The following is a 12,634-nucleotide window of genomic DNA, read 5'->3' as shown; positions in this document are numbered from 1 at the left end:
CAGTAAAGATGAAGGAAAAACTATCTTCATCCTTGCCTTTGAAGTTGTGTTCTGAAACTAAAATTTCTTCATCAGTGTACAGTGTACAGAACATTTCTTAGCACGAAGTTGGCTCCCTCAGTGGTTAAATTAATGGTACCTTACCCACAGGCACATTTACCCAAATATGAAAGGTTAAGTCTACATAATGCTAGTGGGGTTGGCTGGAGCTGGGGAGAGATTTACCCTGAACGCGGAGCTCCTGAGACTGCTGCAGGCAGAACGCTCACCTCAACTTAGTAAAGCAGCATAGTGGGAGAAAGTAGACCATAATCAATTAGGAAACTAAAGCATGAAGGGAGAAAAATGGTGTTCTAAGTTGGATTGGTGGTATAAAATCAAGTTGTAAAGAGAAAAAATGAATAATAAATGTATAATCCAGGAGAAATAACATTGAAGGGAATAGGCAGTGTAAAAGAGTATAAGTAGTGGTTCCATTCCAGAGCTGTTTGTCTTTCAAGTCTCCTTTGCTCCTTGTCTTATGTGGTGTCAGTTACATGTGACACATTCAAGACTAATAGTTTATTAATGAAAAGCACCAAACTAGGCATGCAATCTCTGAAGATGGCCAGTCTCTCTCTACCTCCCTTAACTTCAAGAGATAAGCTCAGATAAATTAAGATTGATCTCAACATATTATTTTAATTATTAACTTTGGGAAGTATTTTTTTCAGAATTCTGAATATAATTAGGCTGCCATACACTCATATCTTTTTCTAATATTTCTTATTGATTAAAAATATCTTTGGGATTTTGGAAACCTATTACTTGAAAATATTAAATAAGAATTCATCTTGATAATACAACATTAATTTTATTCTGAATTTAAATAATTTATACTTTTGATATTAAGCCAAAAGTAAAATGCAAATGATAACTTTTATTTATTTTTAAGGCACTAAAAGCAGTGACATAAAAATGTTCAAATTTTGACCCATACCTTTCATAAAAATACAATAAATTCAGTAACCATTAAATCCTCAATACTGATTCAAAATTTAATTAAGTAAAGAGTTTGCTCATTCATTGTTGTATGTTCCTAAAACTTCTAAAAAATTATAGCACAAAAATACCCTAAAGACTTGTCTGCATTTTTCAATATGCATGTAGGTAAACAAGGGTAATCAATGGCCAGTGATAAAGGAAGGAAATTTATATTAAAATAGAAATGAATGAACTATGCCATTAAACTACTATATAATGAATTGGATTTAATAACACTTAGAAAGCTATGTACACCAATCTGGAAATAATTCATATTTTAATATTGATGGCAAACATTTTTGCAGTAAAATATGTATGAAAAAGGGAAAGAGCCTATTAAAGATGTATGTAAAAAGAAAAAGTTGATGACATTTGGAAAATGGCATGTCAACTATGATTTTCTTAGAAATCTCTTCCTTTTAAACCTGAAAATCAGAATGAGAAAATCAGATTACAAGAAAAATTACTATTTTCTGACACATTGTTTTAAATTGTTCTGGTGACTTTAAAAAGGGAAAACTAGGTTGGGTATATATAGCATTTTAAATAATGAATGAAAGAACCAAAAGAACATGTACAATAAAGGATTGAAAAACCAACATAAATTATAAATTACTTCTCTGGACATTATTGAAAAAATACTCCTTCAAGGCTAATGGCTATACTAGTTCTAATAATACACAAAGAATCATTACAATATGCCTTCTTTTTCTGGATATATTATTTAGTGAGGTAAGTTCTTATGAGCATTAAAACTTAAAGTCATTAACAGACAACAGGATTCTGAGGACATAGTGAAAATGTCTCAATGGTAAAAAACAAGGATTCTTAAAATTTTGTATATATCTCCTCCCTAAATTGTGTATACCTCCTTATTTCCCTGAAACTACATTCTAAGGATTGAAAAATTACATATGTTTTCTTCATTATTGAGTTAATTTTGGAATTATTTTGCATACAATTTATCAAAGTAATCTAAATATATTATACATGTTGATGAGTAATTATGAAGTACAAAAAGTAAATTCTAAGTGAAGAGATATTTCTTCATGAGATAGATTGGCTTTAAGTTGTGAATAAAACTACATTCAAATAAAAAAGACGATTGTTAAAGGAAGTTTCTGTATTTTTAGTTTTTTAAACAATAATTCCATTCAATACTTTGAATTTCTTCTGAGTAATATGCTAAAAAATACATAGTGATCTATCATTAAAATTATTTATAACAATTTCATCTAGCAATTCAATGACTTCCAATAATAATAAAAATAAAATTACCTGATCTGCTAATGTAGTTTTCACCTAATCATTGGAGTCATTCATTTTCTCAGAACTTCTCGATTTTCCCTCTGTTAGGTGTCCTGGGCTTTTTGTTTGTTCATATGTTTGTATTTGTTAATGCTGTTATTTGTGCATTGTTAACAGTTTTATTGAGATATAGCTTATATATCACAAACTTCATCCATTTAAATTGTACAATTCACTGGTTGTTAGTGTATTTACAGAGTTGAGCAACCATCACCGTGACATAATTTTAGAACACTTATTTAGAAACACTTATCTTTATAAAGAATAAAATCATGTGTCCCTTAGCAGGCCTTTCTAGCACAAAGTGACAGTCAAATTTGGTTTGGGTGAAAGGTAATGTGTGATTGGGTTGTGATTTTTATAGGCAGTGGTGAGAAACTGCTGTTCATCCAGGTCCTTCCCAGGCAGATATTGTTAAGGATAAAGCACACATGAAAGTTGACTATCTGGAAAAGGATTCCCTTTAAATTCTCCATGCCTTGGTACTTTTGAGAAAATCTTTGTATGTACCAAGAAGTATGTTTGCACAGAAAAATTGCATGATATACAGCCATTATTTAATTTTCAAAACCTATTTATCTACTGAGGAAAGGATAATAAAGGCAATATGTAAAATTACAATAGGAAAATTTATAGTTAGAAACCCATGCATTTAATCAACATAGTTTTGTTGTGGACATATAAACCAGTACTTTGAATATTTTATCAAAATTATTTAGAAATTCCTTGAGCCAAATTGTGACTTTCCTTCCCTGAATGATTTGACAGCTTGTGGGTAATAAAAGCATTTTCTTGAAATATCTTTCCATCAATAGGTAAATGTTTCAGGTTCATGAGTTCCAGTCATTTCTTTAAGGTACTTCAGCCTTTTATAAAGTTTTACCATATTTGAGCTTGGCACCTTAGCATTTACTAAAGAACTTAATGCTATGGTTTGATATCCGTATTCATGCTACATGCTGAAGGTAACTTACTGATTGTAAGTGAACTTATCAGGGCCGTGGTGAGCTCCAGAATTGTAACTAATTATTTTGATGCCTCAGATAAAATGGGTAGCTTGTGTTTAGTTTTAATATTTCCCCAAATTGTATGAATTGTTAGCACTAACTTTATTATAGTTATATGACTTTTGTACAGTCATCTGAGAAAAACACAGATCCACAATTCGTACCTAGGCTTTCTTGGGGATTGCTCAGCCACCGAATGCTAGTAAAAATACCTACTTCATGTTTCCTCCTTTGCTTTCTATTGTTCACTCCAATTCACGCTTTCTCTTCAACATCATGTAATGTGGCTTAAACAGAAGGGTTGTCTTATAAGAGACTATTCTGTAGAGATCCATTATGTCCATACATAAGATAATTTCAGTTAATTTGGTGAAATATTTAATCCATAAGCCATGTTGGGAAGTTCTTTTATGTGCATCTAGTTCAATCTTGTACTCAATGATGGAACTTTTACAACTACATATTCTTGATCAACTGACATTCACTCTGTTAAAAGACATAGATTATTAGAGAATAGGCTACTTTCAGAGGCAGCTCTTTCAGATTTGTAGATAAATGTTGTTGTCACAAAAACTTCTTAGTTTGACCTACTAAGTATATCTGGGTAACTTCATTCTTTTGGTCCTATATCCAATTTATAGATGAATATCTGAAATATTTTTGAAACTAAACTTTTATAATTAAAGAGAAAAGTTAAACAATAAAACAAAGATTATTGAGATATTCTTAGTCTATAAGATTATTCAAATTAAATCAAGTGTTCAATCACAGCCATATATGGATAATATGTAATTTTATTCTATTTATTCAATTAGAAAGCATTCATTTGGTTCCTTTTGTTCATCAGTTACTATATTTAGCCATCTTTTCTGTAAGATAGCTCATATAATGGCACAATAATTCATATTTTTGTAAAAATGTGAAAAGTAAACGAACAGCAAAATTGAAAGCATGAAAGAAACAGAAGAAAATGTATATTTTACGTCTTTTCCCCCACATGATAGCTATTCAAGTTCTAAGCTATCTTAGAACAATCAGATTTTCTTATGGAAAATTAAAATGATAAAATGAGTACAAACCCAAATGTATGCAATGTAGGCAAAATGAAATTTATCAAAACTCTATAATATTTTGAAGAAATAAAGAGAAAAAATAACTGAATTCATGGTTTTATTTTTATTATACTTTAAGTTCTGGGATACATGTGCAGAACATGCAGGTTTGTTACACAGGTATACACGTGCCATGGTGGTTTGCTGCACCCATCAACCCATCACCTACATTAGGTATTTCTCCTAATAGTATCCCTCCCCTACCCCCACCCACTTACAAGCCCCGGTGTGTGGTGTTCCCCTCCATGTGTCCATGTGTTCTCATTATTCAACTCCCATTTATGAATGAGAATATGCAGTGTTTGGTTTTCTGTTCCCATGTTAGTTTGCTGACAATGATGGTTTCCAGCTTCATACCTGTCCCTGCAAATAACCTGAACTCATGCTTTTTTATGGCTGCACAGTTCTCCATGGTGTATATGTGCCACATTTTCTTTTTCCAGTTTATCAATTGATGGGCATTTGAGTTGGTTCCAAGTCTTTGCTATTGTGAATAGTGCTTCAAAAAACATACATGTGCACATGTGCATATGTATTTTTTTTTTTTTTGAGATGGAGTTTTGTAATTGTTGCCCAGGCTGGAGTGCAATGGCATGATCTCAGCTCACCACAACCTCCACCTCCTGAGTTCAAGCGATTCTCCTGCCTCAGCCTCTGGAGTAGCTGGTATTACAGGCATGCAACACCACACTCAGCTATTTTTTTTTTTTTTTTTTTTTGTATTTTTAATAGAGACACAGTTCCTCCATGTTGGTCAGGCTGGTCTCAAACTCCCGACTTCAGGTGATCCACACACCTTGGCCTCGCAAAGTACTGGGATTACAGGCATGAGCCACTGTGCCCGGCCACATATATCTTTATAGTAGAATGATTTATAATCCTTTGGATATATACCCAGTAATGGGATTGTTGGGTCAAATGGTATTTCTGGTTCTAGATCCTTGAGGAATCGCCACACTGTCTTCCACAATGGTTGAAATAATTTATACTCCCACCAACAGTGTAAAAGTGTTCTTATTTATCCACATCCTGTCCAGCATCCGTTGTTTCCTGACTTTTTAGTAATTGCCATTCTAACCAGCGTGAGATGGTATCGCATTGTGGTTTCGATTTGCATTTCTCTAATGACCAGTGATGATGAGCTTTTTTTCATGTTTGTTGGCCACATAAATGTCTTCTTTTGAGAAGTGGCTGTTCATATCCTTTGCCCACTTTTTGATGGGGTTGTTTGTTTTTTCTTGTAAATTTGTTGAAGTTCCTTATAGATTCTGGATATTAGCCCTTTGTCAGATGGTTAGATTGCAAAAATTTTCTCCCATTCTGTAGGCTGCCTGTTCACTCTGGTGATGGTTTCTTTTGCTGTGCAGAAGCTCTTTATTTAATTAGATCCCATTTGTCAATTTCAGCTTTTGTTGCCATTGCTTTTGGTGTTTTAGTCATGAAGTCTTTGCCCATACCTATGTCCTGAATGGTATTACCTAGGTTTTCTTCTAGGGTTTTTATGGTTGTAGGTCTTACATTTAAGTATTTAATCCATCTAGAGTTAATTTTTGTATAAGGTGTAAGGAAGGGGTCCAGTTTCAGTTTTCTGCATATGGCTAGCCAGTTTTCCCAGTACCATATATTAAATAGGGAATCCTTTCCCCATTGCTTGTTTTTTAAAGGTTTGTAAAAGATCAGATGGTTGTAGATGTGTGGTGTTATTTCTGAGGCCTCTGTTCTGTTCCATTGGTCTATATATCTATTTTGGTATTAGTGCCATGTTGTTTTGGTTACTGTAGACTTGTAGTATAGTTTGAAGTCAGCTAACGTGATGCATCCAGCTTTGATCTTTTTGCTTAAGATTGTCTTGGCTATACAAGCTCTTTTTCAGTTCCATATGAAATTTAAAGTAGTTTTTCTAATTCTGTGAAGAAAGTCAATGGCAGTTTGATAGGGATGGCATTTCACTTTGGGCGTTATGGCCCAATATTTCACAATATTGATTATTCCTTTCCATGAGCGTGGAATGTTTTTCAATTTGTTTGTGCCCTCTCTTATTTCCCTGAGCAGTGCTTTGTAGTTCTCCTTGAAGAGGTCCTTCACATCCCTTTAAGTTGTATTCCTAAGTATTTTATTCTCTTTGTAGCAATTGTGAATGGGAGTTCACTCATGATTTGGCTCTCTGTCTATCATTGGTGTATAGGCATGCTTGTGATTGTTGCACATTGATTTTGTATCCTGAGACTTTGCTGAAATTGCTTATCAGCTTAAGGATGTTTTGGACTGAGACGATGGGATTTTCTAAATATACAATCATGTCATCTGCAAACAGAGACAATTTGACTCCCTTTCCTCCTATTTGAATATGCTTTATTTCTTTCTCTTGCCTGATTGCCCTGGCCAGAACTTTCAATACTATGTTGAATAGGAGCAGTGAGAGAGGGAATCCTTGACTTGTGCCGGTTTTCAAAGGGAATGCTCCAGCTTTTTCCCATTCAGTATGATATTGGCTGTGGGTTTGTCATAAATAGCTCTTATTATTTTGAGACACGTTCCATCAATACCTAGTTTATTAGAGTTTTTAGCATAAAGCAGTGTTGAATTTTATCGAAGGCCTTTTCTGCGTCTATTCTTATAATCATGTGTTTTTTGTCATTGGTTGTTTATGTGATGGATTATGTTTATTGTTTTGCGTATGTTGAACCAGCCTTTCATCCCGAGGATGAAGCCAAATTGATAGCAGTAGATAAGCTTTTTAATGTGCTGCTGGATTCATTTGCCAGTATTTTATTGAGGATTTTCACTTTGATTCTCATCAAAGATATTGGCCTGAAATTTTCTTTTTTTGTTGTGTTTCTGCCAGGTTTTCGTATCAGGATGATGCTGGTCTCATAAAATGAGTTAGGGAGGGTTCTCTCTTTTTCTATTTTTTGGAATACTTTCAGAAGGAATGGTACCAGCTCCTCTTTATACCTCTGGTAGAATTTGGCTGTGAATCCGTCTGGTCCTTGGCTTTCTTGGTTGGTAGGCTATTAATTACTGCCTCAATTTCAGAACTTGTTATTGGCCTATTCAGGTATTCGACTTCTTCCTTGTTTAGTCTTGGGAGGGTGTATGTGTCCAGGAACTCATCCATTTCTTCTAGATTTTCTAGTTTATTTGCGTAGAGGTGTTTTTAGTATTCTCTGATGGTAGTTTGTATTTCTGTGGGATCAGTTGTGATCTCCCCTTTATCATTTTTTATTGTGTCTATTTGATTCTTCTCTCTTTTCTTCTTTATTAGTCTGACTAGCGGTCTATCTATTTTGTTAATCTTTTCAAAAAACCAGCTCTTGGATTCACTGATTTTTTTGAAGAGTTTTTGTGTGTGTGTGTCTTTATCCCCTTCAGTTCTGCTCTGACCTTAGTTATTTCTTGTCTTCTGCTAGCGTTTGAATTTGTTTGCTCTTGCTTCTCTAGTACTTTTAATTTTGATATTTGGGTGTCGATTTTAGATCTTTCCCACTTTCTCTTGTGGGCATTTAGTGCTATAAATTTCCCTCTAAACACTGTTTAGCTGTGTCCCAGAGATTCTGGTACATTGTGTGTTTGTTCTCGTTGATTTAAAAAAACTTATTTATTTCTGCCTTAATTTTGCTATTTACCCAGTAGTCATTCAGGAGCAGGTTGTTTAGTTTCCATGTTGTTGTACAGTTTTGTGTGAGTTATGTCTTAACTATTTGAGGTCTATTTGGTTCCAAAGATTGTAGAATATAAAATATAAAATATAATTAAATAGAAATGCTATTGTAAACAGGATTAGAGCAAAAGAAGAAACTTTAGAAGAAATGAATACTAATTGTACAAACATTTAAAATCAGAAACATTAAGTTTACAAAAAATAACATGAAAATGAAAATAATAGATTGTCAAAAATATGCTAGCATTATTTAAAACAATTAATGAATTATGTAAGCATATGAATACATTAAGTACCAAATAGATAAATAGACAGTGTATTTTTTTTTTTTCTTTGAGATGGAGTTTCACTCTTGTTGCTTAGGCTGGAGTGCAATGGTGAGATCTCGGCTCACCGCAACCTCCACCTCCTGGGTTCAACTGATTCTCCTGCCTCAGCCTCCCAAGTAGCTGGGATTACAGGTGCGTGCCGCTACGCCTGGCTAATTTTGTATTTTTAGTAGAGACGGGGTTTCTCCATGTTGGTCAGCCTGGCCTTGAACTCCCAACCTCAGGTGATCTGCCTCGGCCTCGCAAAGTGCTGGGATTACAGGAGTGAGCCACTGCACCCTGCCTGACAGTGTATTTTACAACATGCATTGCATAAGAACAAAGACATTATTTTATTCACTACTGTGTGTTCACATGCTAAAAGAAAACATGACAGAAGCGCACTCATCATAACAATTGCAGAGTAGATGATTGGATGGATCATTGAATAAATAGAGACTGAGATTAATTTCCTCCTGATCTCTCTCTGGTAAGATTGCATGAAAGTTTCTGTGATATTCTACTAATGAAACCCTGTTTATTGTTTGACAAATTACTTATGCACGTTTTTCAAATTTGACAATAAACCACTAGTAGAAGATGTGTACGTGTAAAAAAATAAAAAAGTTATATGAACAAAATAGACTTTCCATATAGGTACACGCTGATATTTTGTGTTCTTTTTATTTGATTAAAACATATTTGATTGAGAGTTACCAAATGTATCCTATGACCTGGTAATGAGACACAACTTCAATTTAGAGCAATCTCCAGATTTTATAGTTGAGATCAGAAATACATAACTTGCCATAGCTTCCTTATCTCTGTTAAGTAGGAAATCCAAGCCAGTAAGTGAAGTTTCCTGATACCTAGCAGAGAACTTTCCATCACTGTATTCAAAACGTCAGTATTTATAGCCAGGTTCCAAATAAGGAAATAAAGCTATAACTAAAAAATATAAATAACACCTGTTGTGAGTTCTTAAACACTTCATAAGTAATCCTGAACTCAATTGATATATTTATTAAACTGTAGCATGTGATTATGAATAAAGGAAAGAGTTTGTAAGTCCCTTATTTGTTCACATTTTGAACAAGCCTGAAAAAAATACTGTGGTACATGTCAATGGAGCTGAATTATAAATAGGTTTTGGGGGAATTTATGTAACTTCTCTCTTTTCTCTCCCCTATCTTCTTTTTCCCTTTTCTGTCAGCCAGAACATTTAATTCATCTTTCCTTTATGCACTTATCTGTACAACCACATAAGCTTATATTAAAAATGCCAAGCGATTATTTAAACTTACAAGTCTAAAATTTCTATTGAGAATATCTGATTAATTTAAAGATACCTATATTGTCTTATAATGTTTATGCTGATTTGTATGTAGTTCTTCAATGTGAGAAACAGAATTTCAGATAAGGCATTTAGATTAACAACTTATTCATTAAACACATGTTCAGAAAAGGCTGTCTATGTAATTCATGTATTTATTTATACCCATATTTTTTAGAAAATGAGTTAAATGTGTAAGTTTATTAATATTTAATGTTATAATTTCAACAGTTTTTATTATAAAATTGAATAAAGGTAAATATTATATAATGTGTATAATATAATAAACTATATGAATATACCCAAATAAGTACAGTAATGTATTATAATACCATTTTTAAGAATGAAGTTTATTAAATTTATTTGACAATTAAAATTTAAAATTAAAAATTAAAAATATGAGAGATTCAGTTAAACTTCGTTTTATTATTACAGATCTAAAACATAATTACCAGACTATCAACTTATTCTATTTTACTGTTCAGAGGATTCATTTACTATCAACATGCATTAAGTTAGATTTAAAATTCCAGACCAATCTAAAACTCAGCTGCAGCTCTGTCAAAAAAATTAAAGTAGGAAATGAGGCATTTTTATGACATAAATTAATAAAATTAAAGAAAATCTAATTTAAAGAAAAAGAGAAATGACAATCAATTACACTATTACATAGCATCCCTTATTATAAAACTATATAAAGTAATTTTATCCATTATTTTACTATTTTCTAAGGAATGTAAAGTGTATAACATCTGTAAGTTCGATATCTTAAAATATTATAAAACATTTAAACAGAAACTTAAGGCATTTAATAAGCCTGTTTATTAGTGTATAGTATTTCTTTCTGTATATTAATTTTCAGAAAGAAGAAAAAGCACTAAACAGGTTTTGAATAATTTGTTGATATTGCAGTGAGTATGCTTTCAGTACACACTTCATTATTTCTTCAACCATTAACAATAATGGCTAGAAGATACAAAATTAATACAGCTACTGATTAGACATGCATCTCAAAACACTTGGCATTTAGATTTGCTGCAGCTTTCACAAAACTTATTAAAAATAATTTTGAATTTTATACTCTGAAAATTAATATGTCATGAGAATAGTTTATCTTTTGAAAAAGAAATGTATTCATTCTCTCCTTTTTGAACATGGGTAATTTTAATGTTAAGACCCTTTCCATGGAAACACTTGTTTATTTAGGAAATAAAGGAAGACTGGATCCATGTGTATGTACCCATTTACATCTTACTTTTATTATTCCCTAAAAATGGGAAACATAAGAAATTTGTTTCAGAGCATACATACACACTGAGATTATTTTTGGCAAGGATGTGATTTAAAAATTATTTTTTCTTTACTGACTACTGTACAAAAGCATTCACATATTGGCAGATTTATGCATATTGCAAAGCAGACAAGAATCATAGATTAACAAAGGTAAATTCTTATTTGATGGTATATTCTATCTTTAGGAACCAGGGTTCTTTCTGCATTTTGCTGATGGGAAATTTCCTGAGATTAAATACTTACAGTCTAGTGTGTGACTGTGACACATTCTGCTCTACAAGATCATCTGTCTAATAAGACAGCAAACTGCAAAGAATTGAGAAATTGATTTTCCCAAGTTTTAACTTAATGAAAAACAACCAGGTTTCAATCACACTGGAAGGTGAGATACAGAGTTGCTTATTAAGACCTAGATACTTGGAAGTCAAGCCCCTTTCTGTCTTTAGAGATAAAATGTAGCCGAGAAGATTGGTTCTCGGCTACAAAACAAAACAAAACAAAATAAAACACATCAACAAGAAAGATATTGTTACATCAAATGTGTATTTTGAAATTTGCCAATATGTCAACGTAAGGAAGTCACATCAGAAGCTCCGTATTATGTTTACTTTCTAGTTCAGCAAAGCAAAAGACAACAGGTTTACTGCATCTTTCTTTGATAAGCTAGGAGAGATGTCTGGATATCCAAAATGTTTTCCTTTTTAAATATTCTCTTTCTCTCTTGTTAGTGAAGAAACCTTACATATCAAAACCTGATTAATGAAGATGTCTTAATGAAAAACTCTAGATTTTTGTCTCTCCTGGGTGAAAAAAAGGAAGCCACTTCCTCACCAATGAGTTTGTTTCTCTTTAGGAAACATGCTTTCTTCTTCCTTTTATGATTCAGCCTAAGAAATTTTAAATTTCTTTACTTACTCCACCTGCATGTAGAAAGACTTTTAGTGACAGTTATGCCCAAATTAAGTGAATAGTAGTAGGTCGTTATAAAGCTAAAAAAAAAAATGCTTCTTAGAGGTCACTAATTGGAAAGTTTGAGACAAATTCTTCATCACTTGGTGAAAACTCAGTGCATGTAGGCTTCTGCAGACCCTCCAGGATAGACTATTGGCCTAATGAGCAAAGAATTCTACTTGCTAAATTTTCTTAACCTGAGAATATATTATTTTTAGAGCAGACACATAATTTATCCTTCTTTTAAATCTTTTCTACCTAAAACAATTTTATGGTTTATGTTAGTTAAATTTTTAAAAGATTTATGTCATTATGTTAAAAGAGATTGGAAGGTAGTTTTTGGTATCTCTTTCAATAGTGCACTGTGCAGTGCATTTGAAACCAGGGATACTTTGATATTTATGGATATGGATCTGTCACTTTAAAACATGAGAGAATATAAGCGCTTCAGTGATACACATAATCAGATTTTCTTGTTTGTTTTTAAAACTTTAAGGTTCAATGAAATGTACAAAAATTAATCCCTGTTTGGTAGGGATTGCATTTAATTTCCCTAGTCATTAAATCAGAGCTAGCAGTTGCAATAGTTTTCACTGATAAAAGAGTGATTTACTAATCTTGCATAAGAAACATCTGGA

Source organism: Homo sapiens, chromosome 3 (genome assembly GCF_000001405.40).
Source record: "Homo sapiens chromosome 3, GRCh38.p14 Primary Assembly".
NCBI classification, from domain to species: domain Eukaryota; kingdom Metazoa; phylum Chordata; class Mammalia; order Primates; family Hominidae; genus Homo; species Homo sapiens.
Note: the sequence above shows the minus strand (reverse complement) of the source record.